The following is a 17342-nucleotide window of genomic DNA, read 5'->3' as shown; positions in this document are numbered from 1 at the left end:
GTACATTTTATACTCTGATATTTACAAATCTCGGTTACTAGATGATTTGATATATGATTTTTCTAGTTATTTCTTGGGAGCTACACACATTTGATTCCCTTCTATAATGCATGGCACATACTTATTACAGTCTGTATTTACTGAAAAATATTTTTTCCAGGATAAAGCCACATGAACCAAATTAAGATCAAATATGTAATCTTGTGAAAATTGTACTGTGCATTAATCAGTTTGCAAATAGAACAATGCGTTAAACTCATTTGCAAGGTCTGATTAGCATTTGTCACATTTCTGCCCCCTGGTGGTAGCCTTCATCTTGTCACCTTTGCAATGCCTTAGGCTTGCTTTCTTGAAAAAAATATAATAAATAGTAAAGATATAAATAGTAAAAGTAGTGGGTAAGAATATTTTATAGTGAAAAGGAGGTTAATTAAAATTATTCTTGTAGGTCAATAACCTACAACCAGTAGGCATATAGTGTATACCGAATCATGAAACTATTTCTTATCGTCTTACACTAAAAATGTGATGCCTTAGATATAAATAAGTCTGCTCTAAAACACATGCAAGATAGTCTGACATTAGGGTTGTAAATTTAAGCTCTTTTTGAACTGTCTTCTTAAGTTAATTCCATATTTATCAAAGGTAGTGTATGAGAAAAATTACTTTTTACTCATGGTGCAGTTAACTAGGAGGAAATCCTAATAAATAAGGAAAAGGAAAAACTTAGAATAATATCCTTAGAGTATAACTAATTGTATATTTAAAAACCTGCGTATTTGGACAACTATGTAATGTGAGTGTTTTTAGTTTTCATGAAAATGTTTTTTCTTAATATATGTTAGATAAAATGTTTCCTCTTTTGAGCAGTGCCAATGTCGCTGAATTTGGCTTCATAAAATGGAAATATTACATTCATTTCACTTGAGTAAACTTTTTACTTTTCTCATAACAAGTTTATTAGTATTCTTGTAAAAATAATGTAAAATTTGGGGAATAGATGAAGAGATTCCTGCTTATACTACAAACTAAAACTTGAGCTTTAAACTTTTTCTTTTTTTATGATTTTTCAATAATGAAATTGAAAAATTTCATTATTTTGCTGTTTACTGAGTCTGTGTGAATATATCATAGCAATGACCAATTATTTTAATATCTCCTGGACTTGTGAATTGTATTTGAAATCTTCTATTTTTTTCCCAGTATAAAATATAAAAGCATTAACAAAGCTTAAAAATGGGTATGTGTACTAAGGGTCTCAGGAGCTAAAATACTAGCTTCATTCCATTCTATATTAAGAATATTAGAAGTAGGAAAAGATTAGGAAAAGTTAAGAATCTTAAACTCTGTTTCTTGACAACAACCACTTTTTCTCAATCCTCAGTAATTTGTGTAAGGTACTGACTCAAAAAGAATAACCACTGTGTAATTTTGTAAAGACACAACAAAATTAAGTCTGACTATGCTATTCGAATTTTTCATCCATTCAGCAGTAATAACCTCTGGGCCATCTGCTTTTTGTGAAATTTAACATATGTAAAATTATATTGCAGGTTATAATGTTGTTGTAAAGATTCCCGCAGGAGCAACAAACGTTGACATTCGTCAGTACAGCTATTCTGGACAACCAGATGACAGTTACCTTGGTAAACATTTCTCGTAAACAACAGCCAGTATGTGGCTTATGTGCAATTTCATGGAAGTCTGTAGTTGATGTGAATTCTTGGAAAACAGGAGTCCCTTTAGCAAGCATGCAATTTCATTTCATACTGAGCTTAGCGCTCCCTATACATATGTTCTTAAGCACTCAAAAATGTATTACTTAAAAAAAAAAAACTTAATGAAATTCTGAACAATAATTTGTTTTCAGTTTTTTTCTCGTGTATTTTAGATAACCAGAAATTATATTCAATTAGTTGCATGTGTATTTAGAATAAAATTCTCTTCTATCATTTTGTCTAATATTAATTGTAGAATTCTTTGGGGTTAAATGTTTTAAATAATTTTCTTAATTTTTTTTTACTATGTAGCTAAAGTATTTAAATACAGTTTTGTAAAAGCTCTTGTATTTAAAAAAGTCAGAAAAAGAACTGTGGTTTCACATTTTTATATGTTAATGAATGTAGTCACAGTATATTGTCTGTTAGCTATTTCTAAAGTATAAACTTAATTTATGTTATTTATTTTTAGAAATTAGCTTTCAGGCTTAAAGAATTTCACTTTAGACACAAACATGAAAATGATGCTTTAAAAACCTTTTCCTTCTGCCTGTGAAATATCTTAATAGCGAGTTATCTATAATTCACCAAGCTGGAGTAGGTAGGTAATGGTGCAGAGCTGATATTGAGAAAGCATCTGCTGTACATTAATAAGATGTGAAATATTGACTCAAATAATTAACTTATGTAACTGGCAATCTGAATCTATAATGAACAGCCTATCTCAGGAATTGCATTTGGAACTATAAAGCCAAATGTAAGGGGAACAACTGCTTAATGAGTACAAGGTTTCCTTCTGGGGTGAACAGGTTTTGGAACTAGATAGAGGTGATGGTTGTACGTCATCGTGAATATACTAAATGCCATTGAACTGTTCGTTTAATGATGGTTAATTTTATGTTATATCAGTTTCACCTCAATACAAGATGCAAAATATTTATTAAAATCAAACATAAATAGTTTGATTTATTAGCCTTTTACATTTAGTTGAAATTCTTTTCCTTGTGCTAAAAATATTGCTTCAGTACATTTACATAGATATATGCTACCATATTGGAGATAAATAATTTAATAGGTATCTCTTAGATTCCAAATGTAGACAAATATATCTTTCTGGGACTGGATCACAGGTTATTCTCAACTTTAAAAATTAGAAATGTTGGCTGTGCATGGTGGCTCATGCCTGTAATCCCAGCACTTTGGGAGGCCGAGGCAGGTGGATCATCTGAGGTCAGGAGTTCGAGACCAGCCTGACCAACATGGCAAAACCCCGTGTCTACTAAAAATACAAAAATTAGCCGGACATGGTGGCGCATGCCTGTAATCCCAGCTACTCGGGAGGCTGAGGCAGGAGAATCGCTGGAATCTGGGGGGCGGAGGTTGCAGTGAGCTGAAATTGTGTCACTGCACTCCAGCCTGGGCAACAAGAGCAAAACTCTGTCTCAAAAAAAAAAAAAAAGAAATGTTCACCAATAAAGTATCAATATACTTTGTGAGAAAATTATAAACGGAAATATCAAAGTCTAAATTGAAGTGAGTAAAATAGACATGTGATGTCAATAGAAGGAATTTTTAAAACATTTATGTTTATGACGTTTGGTAACTAAAAGTAGTGAAATTTGTAGACTTTTTTTCTAAGCCAGTAAAGTTTTGTTTATTTCCCTTAAATTTAACATAACCAATAATCCCTTAAATAGACCTAGCCACATTTGATAAAGCGCAGATTCTTAAATAGAGGAATGTCTATGTCATAGACTAAATATAGATCTTTGTTTGTTCCTCACTGAATTCAGCGTAATACATAAAGACAGTTATACTAGTCCACATATACACAGAAACACCAAATTTATTTTACAATAATCCCTTCAATATTGCTTTTTCAGAGGGGTATTGTATTTATATTAGGAAGTTAGCCATAGATAATTGTGCGCTTTCGGTGAGGTTTCCTGGAATGCCAAACAAATGTTTTCTGGAAAGGTTATTATTCCATTGAAAAGTATAACTTAAGCAAGCAAAAAAGTATTTGATTAATATGGGGGTTTTCTTAGTGTAAAATTTTAGGTATTACACATCCTCTTGAAAATTAAAAATAAATAGCACAGTACTTTACAATTCACACACTTACAAACATTTTTCAAACTTGATCCTGATTAAAAGACTGAAATAGAAATGTTTATTATTTCTATTATGCAGTTTAGGAAACTGAGCATGAGGTTTGTCCAAGATTACATAGACATTAATCACAACAACTTAAACTTAAATCCATTGTTTTTATCCCACATTGATTTCTTTTTACTACGCATGATTTTGGGTGACATGTAATTTTATATTTAAAAAGTAATGTTACTAATACATACTATATAATTGTCTTCTCTATTTGTATATATATAGTATATAAATAAATATACACACATATACATATTCTATAGGTATATATTAATGTCTGTCACTGGGAAAAAGAGAGAACAAGAAGGGGACATGAACAGAGAAGGAAATAGGAGTATTATTCTGAAAAGCAGATACCCACGTATGTGTTAACAGGGATAGAGGGCTTTTCTATAGAAGATCTAGACGTTTGTATAGAGAATGGCATAGTCATTGCATGGCCTTCTAGAATGTTGACCCTAGAGTTTTTTTTTTGTTTTTTTTTTTTGGAGACGGAGTCTCCCTCAATCTCCCATGCTGGAGTGCAGTGGCGCTATCTCAGCTCACTGCAAGCTCCGCCTCCCGGGTTCACGCCATTCTCCTGCCTCAGCCTCCGGAGTAGCTGGGACTACAGGCGCCCGCCAGTACGCCCGGCTAATTTTTTTGTATTTTTACTAGAGACGGGGTTTCACTGTGTTAGCCAGGATGATCTCGATCTCCTGACCTCGTGATCCGCCCGTCTCGGCCTCCCGACCCTAGAGTTTTAAAGCTTTGTACCTTTTTTCTAAGATAAGCATAAATGGAATGATGCAGCAGTCTGGCTGCTCCTTCTTTCCCTACCATTGATGACCAGGATGATTGAACTAATCTGTCTGCTGGGGTCATGACTTCTTTCTGCTTTCCCACTGCTTGTTCTGAAGCTACATACATCATGAAAGAAGATGACCATCTGAGATAGAAAAGTATAGAGTGAATTTATTTTAATATCTTTGGCTGATGTGCTGAAGTTACCTAACTTATTGTTAAAATCCCACATTACAGTAAAATAAAGTTTATTTCCTCAACATAAATTTACTTTTGCATTCTTTAATTTCAAAAAAGGATTTGAACTTTAAAAGTTAAACAAGGCCAGGTGCGGTTGCTCACGCCTGTAATCCTAGCACTTGAGAGGCCGAAGCGGGCAGATTGCCTGAGGTCAGGAGTTCGAGACCAGCCTGGCCAACATGGCAAAACCCCGTCTCTACTAAAAATACAAAAATTAGCCAGGCGTGGTGGCGCATGCCTGTAATCTCAGCTACTCGGGAGGCTGAGGCAGGAGAATTGTTTGAATCCAAGAGGCGAGGCGAAGGTTACAGTGAGCCAATATTGTGCCACTGTACTCCAGCCTGGGAGATACAGCAAGACTCCGTCTCAAAAAAAAAAAAAAAAAAAAAAGTTAAACAAGTGTTTTCTGTATTGTTGATTGGTGTTACTATTTCATGAGTTATGCTTTATTCTTTTACAGCATTATCTGACGCTGAAGGGAATTTTCTTTTCAATGGAAATTTTCTTCTAAGTACGTCAAAAAAAGAAATCAATGTGCAAGGAACAAGAACTGTTATTGAATACAGTGGATCAAATAACGCAGTTGAAAGAATTAATAGTACTAATCGACAAGAGAAAGAACTTATTTTGCAGGTAAATTCTCAGTCATCAGTAATAACACTTGGATTTAATTATATTAGTAAACTACTGGTTAAGTGCTTAACATTATCAAATATAAAATGATGTCAAGAATATATTTTTATGTATTAATTGTATGTTCTTTTATATTCTTATTGAGGTGTTGTGTGTGGGTAATTTATACAACCCTGATGTACATTATTCCTTCAATATCCCTTTGGAAGAGAGGAGTGACATGTTCACATGGGACCCCTATGGACCATGGGAAGGCTGTACCAAAATGTGTCAAGGTACGCTGGCATTCAATAAGGGAGAAAAGACTGACTGTGCATTCTGGCATCATTTTGGGTACTTTTGAGTCTTGGCTGCCTATGGAATCCTCCCCACTGTCCATACACATATCCCACAGACATACAAAAGTTTTCAATCTTTTTTTCCTTTCTACTTTTTTCACTAATTCTTTCTGTTTCTTATACTTAACAGCACTATTTAATGCTACTCTTTTCACCCTTCTCTATCTATTACTGTTCTTTTACTTTCCCGTTCTCATTCTCTTTTTCACAGCCACAGAAAGTTTCTCTAACTTATATATATCCTGCTTCCTGGTGAAATATCTGCCTTTTCTTCCACTCATCTCCACACAGTCTTTCTCAACAACCTGGCTTCCTCTTTTATTGTTGAGATATCAAACATTCTTTTGTCTTTTATTTTCCTTCCCTGACCATGAGAAAGTATAATTGTATAGATGGCATGAAAAATGGAAAGAAATAGAGTGGGAAAAGGAGCAGAGTGGGAACAGCAGGACAATTTATAGTAGGGAAAAAAGTGGAAAGACTAGAGTCTGCAGTCTGTAATTATGAATATTTAATTGTGTAATATTATGTTCAATGCAGTACATATTTATTGAGGGAATATGCTCAGATTATTAATAAGATCCCAATTCTGAATTCATGTTTTATTTTAGTGCTTGAAACAGATGCATGAATATATATGTTAATGTATTAATAAAATGGTAAATACAGTACTATAGATACGCACAGTGTGGACCTCAGAAAAGGTGGAGGGAGCAGTTTTTGAGGAGACTGAAGCTGAAGATAGAGAATTTTGTATAGAATGGAAGAAAAGTTTTCATGAAGAATAGAGAAATAGCTTGGGAATTAGGGCAGGAGTGGGTCAGGGCAAAGGAAGCTCCGAACCATGTGGAGATGAGCTTATCATAGAAAGTGGGCAGCAAGAGGCGGTGACCAAAGGTGGTGAGAATGTGAAGAACAGTCTACCATCTGACCTGACGAGGTGCCAAAGGAACTGTGGTGCCCTATTCAGGAAAAGGCACAGTCTTGGTCCTGTGGCATCTGGACAGTGCTTCCCAGAATGATTTCATGGGAACAAATGTTCCTATTTTAGCAGTGTCTCAGTGGAGGGATACAAGGAAATGATGCAAGATAGACGGGGATAATAGAGGTAGAAAACACAGAGCTTTGGTTAACATAGAAGAAGGAAAAATTTATTTTGACAGAAAGGTCCTGAATATCCTTTTAGAAGATAATTGGAATCTGGGGAGCTGGGATCAGCATTCCAACTTGAGTGGGTAAGCTCATCTGTGACCGTGGATATAAGGAGCTAGAAGGAGAAATTTCAGAAACAGGAGAATGAAGGAACATTTTAAAATGCAGTGAACACACAGAGAATAACAAGATTCAAAATGGAAGTTTGGAAAAACATGGTGGGAGACGATTTGGGAGTCCAAAGCAGGAGAGTTCTCTTAAACAATCGCGTGCAGGGGAAAAGCAACTATTATTTCTTTTACCATATAGTGAACTCTGATTATATTCCCTTTTTTTGTGTATTTTTTTTAGTTTCTCTAAAGTTAAAGTTAAATTCCCTCTTTTGTTTGTTTCTGTGTACTGAAAGTTATCAGTCCTCAAGCTTTTTATCAGAACTCTACATTTTGTCTTAATATTGTCAAGCATATTATAGAATTTATCAATTTGATTTTTCTTTCACTTTTTCTTTACCTTTGGCTACTGTGGCCCTCTTTTCTCTAATTTGTTCATGTTGTTTTTTAGGCTTGTTTAATGACTGTCATTTTGAGATTTTCCTTCATTATTGTCCTGGGAATTCTCTTCAGTATTCTGTGTTAGATTCCCTGTTTTCTAAATCCTCTCAGTCCCTCTTTTTGATTTACTTCTTTCATTGGGTGGAACATATCCCTCAGTATTTTCTTGAGAAGAGAATATTTTTGAGACCTTTCATATCTGAAAATGACATAACTATATTCTCATGCTCGATCAATAGTTTAGCTGGTATAAATAGAGAATGTTTTTCTTTAGAATTTTGAAGTTCTTGTTTTCTGGCTTGTTTTCCAATTTCATGCTTGTCATGCTTGTACATGACATGTTGTATTCTGGAAGTTTTGTGGATCCTCTCTTTAATTCTAGTGGTATGAAATTTCAGGACAATATGCCTTGATTTGGTTGTTTTTTCATCTATTTTTCTGGTAATTAAGATGCCATTCCAATTTGGAAACATAAATCTTTGTCTTGAGAAATTTATCATGTTCTTAGATGACTTCCTCACATTAACTTTTCTCTTTTATCTTTGGGAAACTAGTTCACATTCCTAAACTGATATTTCTTTTCTAATTTATTCTCTCAAATTCATTGTTTTCTTAATGTTTCTTCTCATAACATCTTGCTTTTGTTTTATGAATATAATACCTTCTATCATATCTCTGAGTGTATTAATCATAGTCTTTAAGTTTTCTTCTGCTCCCTCACTTATATGTGTTTCCTCCTAGGTCTATTTTGTTTTTGTTTATTTTACCTTTTTTGTGTGTGTTAGAGGCTTTCCTAGAATGTCTACTGACCTTGCGCTGTTTGTTCATATTTTAAAAGTACTAAAAGTCTGATTGAAAGCCCTCTGTGGGTCAGACAAGTTAACTAGAAGTTTCATTATAGAGTAATTTGGTCATTAAGTAGCCCTCTCATATGTCATTGGAGAGAAGTCTCAAATGTTATTGTCAGTTGATCTTTTTTCTTGAGTTAAACGGTCCTGCAAGAGAGGAATTCTCTCATCTTCTGATTGTCATGAGGGTGCTGCGGGATAACAGAAGTTGGCATGGTGCCAGCAGGAGATTGAGCGCTGAATGGGCTGGGATCACATCATTCAGTGTGGGGAATTTTATTTAGCCACCTTGTTTCAGTAGAGTGTGTTCCCAGCTTTTCTCAGCTGTGTCTTATGCTCTCAAGTTCACTTTTTCTAGAGCTATGCTGTGCAATATGGTAGCCGCTAGCCATGTGTGGCTAATCTATTGAAATGTGCTGTAAGTGTTAAATGCATGCTAAATCTGGAAGACTTAGAATGAAAAAAGAACGTAAAATATATTATTAATAATTTTATATTGATATGTTCAAATCATATTTTAAATATTTGGGGCTAAACATAAAGGTTATTAAAATTAATTTAACTTTTTTTTTTAACGTGACTACTAGAAAATATAAAGTTCCAGATGTGGTTCACATTCTGTTTTCATTGGATAGTGCTGTTCTCAACTAGGAAGCTAGTGGTCTAACCATTCTTTTAAAATACTTTTCAATTAATTCTTTATTATTTCAGGCCTACCCCTCACACATTCGCCCTGTCAGAGGAACCTGGTGTTTTCCATTCCTGGGCCTCTCTTGGGTTCTATGTCATGAATGATTTGTTGCTTATTTACTTTCCCACTTTGCAGGCTTAGGTTCCAATTCCTTGGCTCTGTTAAATAGTTATTTCCATCTACTTTTCATATTCAAAATTTCATTTCCTTGCTGTTTTTTTTCTTTTCCTTTTTTTCTTCTTTTACGTTTATGCGTTTTCAGAATTTCTCATAGTCATTTCAAAAGATATTGAGAAAGGAGCAGAGATAACGTATATAATCATGTTTAGTTAACTGGAAGCACAAAGTTGAACTTTGATAAAACAGAAATTTGTTCATGTCACTGACTGCTTAAACTCTTTACTGTCTCCTCATTGCAGAAAGCATAAAGTTCAAATGACTCTGGTCAGTTATGACCACTTCTCTTAGTTTGCTTTTGCTGTAGTTATCCTGCATGCAAACCACCAAATCTTAATGGCTTGGAACAATAAAGGTTTATTTATTGCTCATGTCATGTTTTGGCTGCTAATTGGCTATGGGTCTACTCCAACTTGGTATCTGTATCCATGTTTTTTTTTTTTATAGACTTTTTTTATTTTATTTTTATTTTTATTTTTTTGTTTTTTTTTTTTTTTTAGAAATGGAGTCTCACTCTGTTGCCCAGGCTGGAGTGCAGTGGTGCGATCTCGGCTCACTGCAAGCTCTGCCTCCTGGGTTCACCCACCATTCTCCTGTCTCAGCCTCCCGAGTAGCTGGGACTACAGGCACCCACCACCACGCCTGGCTGATTTCTGTATTTTTAATAGAGACGGGGTTTCACCTTGTTAGCCAGGATGGTCTTGATCTCCTGACCTCGTGATCCGCCCGCCTCAGCTTCCCAAAGTGCTGAGATTACAGGTGTGAGCCAACACGCCCGGCCTAGACTTTATTTTTTAGAGAAGTTTTAGGTTTACTGAAAAATTGAGTAGAAAGTACAGAAAGTTTGCATATTCATCTTTCTTCCCTCTGCCATTCTCCTCCACACTCCTCTATTATTAACATCTTGCATTAATGTGGCACATTTGTGCAATTGATGAGCCAATTTTGATGCATTATTATTAATTAAAGTCCATAGTTTACATTAGAGTTTACTATTTGTGTTGTAAATTCTATGGTTTGACAAACGTATAGTGACATGTATTCACCAATATAATATCATACATAGTAGTTTCACTGCCCTACAAATCTCTTTGCTTCATCTATTTATTCTTCCTTCCTTCCCCCACAACTGGTGACAGACACTGATCTTTTTATTGCCTGTCTATGCCTTTTTTTTCCATGATTCCAGGCTGAAAGATCAGCTGTATCTGGGAAATGATGTTCTGGAGGCAGAGGGAAAAAGGAAAGAGAGCTGGGTGGGACTGGAATAGGTCACGTTCCTTTTCAGTCGGTTGATAAAAAGCCTGATGCCAATCAACAGGAAAGAGTTCTTCCCCTACAGGAAGTTACTATAACATTGCAGCAATAGAGATGTGCAATCCTCTTATGGGAAAATGGGAGGTAGCTGAGGTAGCTGATGGATGACAGTAATATAGTGTACTGTATAGCAACAGTGCTGTCCTTAGCTACTCAATTATTCACCAACAACCACTCTATCCCACTATAGTGAATTTCATTTTACTCCAATGCCTGTCCCATCTTCTGTACATCTCTTCATTAAGCAAACTTTCAGTCATTCAGGATTCAGCTTACTTATTATAAAAGTCATTCCTCATTAGATTAATATACTAGTATATCCTGTATGTTGCATTGGAAATTTTTACTTGCTTAGCTGGCTCCTTTAAGCTATTAGCAGAATTACATAATTATGGAACATCTAACTGTGAATTTTTCTTTCATTTTTTATTTTCATTTGACTTTGGCCAAGGTCTTCAGCGAAGAAACATAACTTGCATACATAAGAGTGATCATAGTGTTGTGTCTGATAAAGAATGTGACCACTTGCCACTTCCATCATTTGTTACTCAAAGTTGCAATACAGACTGTGAACTAAGGTAAAAGAGAAATAATATGTAATATAACCAGATTAATAAGTGAGCTAAGATTAAAATGTCTAACACAGTGACTGACACAGCATGGACATGCAATTATTACTCATCATCTGCCATGCCATGAAAAAATTTCAGGCTCACTATTTTATGGTAAAACTCAGTACATAATTGATTTGAATTTTCATTCATAGTATTTTCTGAATACCAGTATATAGGCCTCAATATTTTATGTAGAAAAAGATTGTAATTTTGTCTGTAAAATAAATACAAGTAAACTGTTATCTGAAAATGGATGGTTTAAAGATCTGAAACAATAAATTTTTTAGCATGATTCTTTACTTTCCACGGAATTAATGAACCAGTAAACTTCTGAAGTTTGGAGAAATCAAATTGATTGATTTCCTTGACATTCTATCAGTATTTTGTCCATTAAACTTTAGGGAAATTGATCCTAGATCATGACAGCAAGTTTATACTTCTAATTTAAATTTCTTGTTATTTGGTTTGTGTGTGTGTGTGTGTGTGTGTGTGTGTGTGTGTGTGTTTGTGTGTGCATGTGTGTGTGTGCGTGATTGGTCTTGTAGTGACATGGTATACAATGAGTCCATCTATCATATTTATACATTTATTTTTAGCATTGTAGCAGGTGCCATTTAACATTCAGGTATGGCCAGAACCTCTTTCACTTGATGAGAATTTCTATATATTTATGATGTTGGTTGAAGGCATAGCAGAAGCACAGTAGTAGAACTGCCTATATAAGTTGCATCCACTACATAGTAGTAAAAGGAAGCACAGTGAAATTCTTGAGATGCTATTAGGGACGGAAATGAATTCTGTGAATTCTGTGTTTTGTTATACTGGTGCCCTCACATTGATGAATGCTAGACTACAATTGGGATAATTTGGCTATAACTAACATTTTTACTTGTGGAAGACATGTTTTACCTGGAAACATGTCTAAATATAGATTACAGGAATGAATGAGAAAGTGTAGTGTACTTTGCAAAAACTAGTTAACTTTTTAAATGCTTTATTTTTATTGATGTAGTCAAATTCCTAGACGTTCCCTGGTCATAAAATCGAAATACTTATAGAGGATTGCATAGGGATAAACTATCTGATTGGCAGTCAGATATGTTCAGTTATTATCTTAAATCTGCCACTAAGTAATTGGGTAATCATAATCTAAACCAGTTGTTTTCAGAGGTTTTTGAGGAAGCTTGGGGTTCCTTGGACGCACCTCCAAAGCTACCACCAAGTGCTGGCATGAGGTCAGTAGTATAATGCTGGCTTCCTGGCTGCAGACTGGTTTTGTTTTTTGGTGGTTTGTCTATCAACTTTTAGGATTTTAAAAACTGAATGCATGAGTGTCTCTGAATCTGTTTTTAAATTATGTAATATACCTCCTAAGTATAGTAACATCTTTTTTCAAGGTGGCATGTTATTGGCAAAAGTGAATGTTCATCCCAATGTGGTCAAGGATATAGAACCTTGGACATCCATTGCATGAAGTATTCCATTCATGAAGGACAGACTGTTCAAGTTGATGACCACTACTGTGGTGACCAGCTTAAACCTCCTACCCAAGAACTATGCCATGGTAACTGTGTCTTCACAAGATGGCATTATTCAGAATGGTCTCAGGTACAATAAAAATGATTGCTTAAAAAAAGTTGCCCCTTTCTTTCTAATTACGTATTTATGTTACTCTGAAGTATAATTTTGTTGAAAATCTGATTTTTTTCCATTAGTTACCACTTTTTTTTTTTTAATCAGTGTTCCAGGAGTTGTGGAGGAGGGGAAAGGTCTCGAGAATCTTATTGTATGAATAACTTTGGCCATCGTCTTGCTGACAATGAATGCCAAGAACTGTCCCGAGTGACGAGAGAGAATTGCAATGAATTTTCCTGTCCCAGTTGGGCTGCTAGTGAATGGAGCGAGGTACATTAAACACATGATGCTTGGAACTATTAAAATATTGTGTTAGTAAAGCTTTGTAATCTAAGACTTTACAAAATTTAAAAGTGCTTAAATTTATTTCATCATTTTGTAAATAACTATTATCAAAGCTGTCAGAAATTTATAAGACAGGCCAGGCACACAGTGTCTCATGCCTGTAATACCAGCACTCTGGGAAACTGAGGTGGGTGGATTGCTTGAGCTCAGATGTTCAAGACCAGCCTGAGCAACATAGTGAAATTTAGCTGGATGTGGTGACACACACCTGTGGTCCCAGCTACTCGGGAGGCTGAGGTGGGAGGATTGCTTGAGTCTGGGACGTGGAGTATCAATGAGCAGAGATTGCGGTAAGCTGAGATTGGCCACTGCACTCCAGCATGGGTGACAGAGTGAGAATCTGTCTCAAAAAAAAAAAAAGAAATATACAAGATAGTTTGTCTTTATACTATTTACAGTATCTGACTAGTAATAACACTAACTGATATTTAATCTATAACCCTTTGCATAAGAAAGTGCCAGGGTCCACAGCAGCCTGGGATGAATACTTATTCTAAGGTTAGTTTTGCACCTTTGTTTCTAGGATAAATGGATGTTTCAGTGGGACTTGGGCAGCAGAAGTTAGGGGCAGGCTGATTTTACCCAGTGAATATCTCTGGTGGAGTGAGGGAAAATGCATTTGGGAATGGTTTTTCAACTGTATTTCTATATGCAAATTGATCATTGCATCAGTTTAAGGCATTTGTGTTGACTAATGCTGCAAATAAATAATGATCAGTTTTATTCTTACAGTGCCTTGTTACATGTGGTAAAGGAACAAAGCAGCGGCAGGTATGGTGTCAGCTGAATGTAGATCACTTGAGTGATGGCTTCTGTAATTCAAGTACCAAACCTGAATCTCTGAGTCCATGTGAACTTCATACATGTGCTTCCTGGCAAGTAGGACCATGGGGTCCTGTGAGTATATGATATGGGTTTTTCTAATTTGATCTATCTTTACAGAATAGCACAAAAGTTGTGTTATATTTACTCCTCCCTTAGTGGATGCAATGGAATTTGGCTTGGTTTATTAAAAAACAACAGCAACCCTGAAATGTGAATCTTTATGTGTAACATGTTGATAGTACTGCTAATTTTTCTGTAATAAATATTTCAGCTTTGCTTTTAAATTCCCTTTTGTTAACCAAAATGCTACAGACTTTATGCTTTTATCAGCTTTATTTAGATTATAAATATTTTCATCTCTGTGTCTGCATTGATATCTTTATTGTTTTTAGGATAGGCATCGTTTAGACGTTTTGCTGAACAGGCAGCTAGGAGTCTGCAGGATGAGCAATGATCAGGCTGGATGAGGATGGAGTAGCTTATTATTCTGTAGAGGTTGCCACAGTTGACAGGAAGCCTTCTCTCATTTTCCCTTTAACTTTATATGCTGTTCCTTCTTTGTCTCTTTAAAATTTACTTAGTATATTAAATGACATGCATACACTAGGTGGTGTTTGAAAAATATTTAGTTTCCTTAAATCATATTGACTGCTTTCTAAAATATCAGGCCTCTATTTATATTTTTATATGACAACTTTTCAGAATACATTAATTGTTGTACAGTTTGGTTAACTTCAATATTTGGTATTTACTTAATTTGAATAAATATGCATATTTATTGAATTTGCTCTTTTTAAGTCTTAAATCTAGTATAAAGGATTGATAAAAAGATTATTAAAAGTATATTATTAACAGGGTATTCATTAAGAAAATAGAAGTTTGTGTAACTTTTGGGAAACAATGTTTTTTTAATATCTATATTCTTCTTTCAGTGCACAACCACATGTGGACATGGGTATCAGATGCGAGATGTTAAATGTGTCAATGAGCTAGCTAGTGCAGTGTTAGAGGACACAGAATGCCATGAAGCTAGTCGCCCCAGTGACAGACAGGTAAAAAGAATCATGGTTTACAAACAAAAAGATTTATGAGACAGAAAGATTATTGATGTGTTAAAATTATTTCTTTACTTATTTTTTTCCACTTAAACTTGTATGCCTTAAACACGTGTATGTGTGAGAGAGAGGCAAAAAAATAGAATTTGTTGTTCTTGGTTTTGCCAGCTTTGTAGCTTTATCAATGAATTTTTTTTTTTTTTTTACTCTTTATCTGCTAAGGGCTCACTCATTTAACTTGTGAATTTCCATTCTTTGAACTGAAGAAGAAGGTTATATCTATTATTATAAATATCATGAACTCCTAAAGTGTATTGTGTTTTTTAAGGTAGAGTTTTGTGTCCGTTCAGAATGTTTTAGCTGAGCAGTATTTTTAAAGGACTGAAGCTCTTTTCCTTTTCAGCAATCAAACAGAATGGTCCAAACTTTAGGATTCAGTCATTATCCACTATTGACACTTGACGATACTGTAGTTAGTGCTTTTGAAAATGAAAACATTCATATTACCAATTTCTAATTTAGTATGGAACGGTTCTTGAGACATACAGAAGAAGTGAAGTATTAGATTTTGTATAAATCAGTCATTAATTAATGTTTTACGAGAACCATTTTTCTTCTGAACAGAGCTGTGTACTTACACCTTGCTCATTTATTTCTAAACTTGAGACCGCTTTATTACCAACTGTTCTCATAAAAAAGATGGCACAATGGCGACATGGTTCTTGGACCCCAGTAAGTGAATTTCTTTAATAGATACAGTGTTTCTATTATGGTAGCTTTTAGACATCAACAAAATGGTTGCTAGAGATTTCACAATGTATACATTTATTCTCAGGTATTTTGATGGCATCAAAGAAGTATAGGGTTTAGAATTAGGAATTAATGGCTAAGTCCTTTGCCTTTCAAGAGCTCTGTGTCTCTGGACAAGAAATTGAAGTTTTCTGAGTATATTTTCTAATCTTCAAAATGGGAATACTAATAATACTTACGTCACAGGTTGTTATGAGAATCAGATTTAGTATTAGGCTGTATCGGCTTTTATTTGAACTACAAACATTTTCATGTTGTTTTTCTACACTGAAAGCTTTAACGTATGTGGAGTATACGTTGCTAAAATCTTGTAGAATATGTATTTTTAAGCTTCATATATTCTCTGAATATTTTAATTATGGAATTATATCTATCTGTTACTTAGTAGTAGATATTATATATCAAAATTATTTTTATTGATATCATAAGATTCTCTTACCTAAAATATTTTAAGTATCTTTAATTTTAGCAAATAACTAAGCATTATTTTAAATCATTATATTTATGTATTATTGAAATTACTATACATTATTTGTGAAATTTATGATCTAAACTGATTGGAATATTCACTACCCCATCTTTATTTGACTCAGAAGTGATGTCAGGTAATATTATCTATAATAATTTAAAATTTCTCAAGAAACTGGATGTTTTAGAAATGTGAGTAACAGCTATGTAAAAGGGACATGGGTGAGGTACTACTGTATAATGCCCGGATACAATTTGATTTCTTAAAAAGTGCTCCGTATCTTGTGGAAGAGGTACTCAAGCCCGCTATGTAAGCTGTCGTGATGCTCTTGATAGAATAGCAGATGAATCATATTGTGCCCACTTACCCCGACCTGCTGAAATATGGGACTGTTTTACCCCTTGTGGAGAGTGGCAAGCAGGGGATTGGTCACCCGTAAGTATTCTTATGAGAAAAAAAGAAAATGAAAAATTTAAATATATTTGATATTAAATATAAATTAATGTTGTATATTACCATTGGCTAAATTTTTGATCAGTGTTCAGCTTCCTGTGGCCATGGAAAAACAACTCGACAAGTTTTATGCATGAACTACCATCAGCCAATTGATGAGAATTACTGTGATCCTGAAGTTCGCCCTTTGATGGAACAGGAATGTAGCCTGGCAGCCTGCCCTCCTGCACACAGCCACTTTCCTAGTTCCCCTGTGCAGCCAAGCTATTATCTAAGCACGAATTTGCCATTAACTCAAAAACTTGAAGATAATGAAAATCAGGTGGTCCATCCATCAGTCAGAGGAAACCAGTGGAGAACCGGACCATGGGGATCAGTAAGCCATCTTTATTGAGTTATATTAATTCTGTAATTTTGTTATATTACATCCTTTTAACAGGTATGTATATGATGCCATCAGTACTTTAAATGCTAAATTTATTTCAAGATCAATAGTTTAAATATTAAAAAGATTAAGCGTCT

General features: G+C 34.6%; 1 protein-coding gene across 3 annotated transcripts in view; it reads left to right on the top strand.

Annotated features, from left to right (window-relative positions):
* Window positions 1-17342, top strand: part of ADAMTS20 (ADAM metallopeptidase with thrombospondin type 1 motif 20) — a 199441-nt gene that overhangs the window by 106767 nt on the left and 75332 nt on the right. For all 3 annotated transcript variants that reach the window (XM_011538754.3, XM_017019979.2, NM_025003.5), the window contains 11 exons: window positions 1554-1646; window positions 5368-5540; window positions 5686-5815; window positions 11066-11192; window positions 12626-12836; window positions 12969-13133; window positions 13941-14105; window positions 14966-15085; window positions 15713-15820; window positions 16638-16802; window positions 16906-17196. In XM_011538754.3, coding sequence (XP_011537056.1) covers window positions 1554-1646; window positions 5368-5540; window positions 5686-5815; window positions 11066-11192; window positions 12626-12836; window positions 12969-13133; window positions 13941-14105; window positions 14966-15085; window positions 15713-15820; window positions 16638-16802; window positions 16906-17196 — 1748 coding nt within the window. The remainder of the gene's footprint in view (window positions 1-1553; window positions 1647-5367; window positions 5541-5685; window positions 5816-11065; window positions 11193-12625; window positions 12837-12968; window positions 13134-13940; window positions 14106-14965; window positions 15086-15712; window positions 15821-16637; window positions 16803-16905; window positions 17197-17342) is intronic.

The sequence above is a fragment of the Homo sapiens genome, chromosome 12, assembly GCF_000001405.40.
Source record: "Homo sapiens chromosome 12, GRCh38.p14 Primary Assembly".
Taxonomy (NCBI): Eukaryota; Metazoa; Chordata; class Mammalia; order Primates; family Hominidae; genus Homo; species Homo sapiens.
Note: the sequence above shows the minus strand (reverse complement) of the source record. Positions and strands in the feature narration are given on the sequence as shown.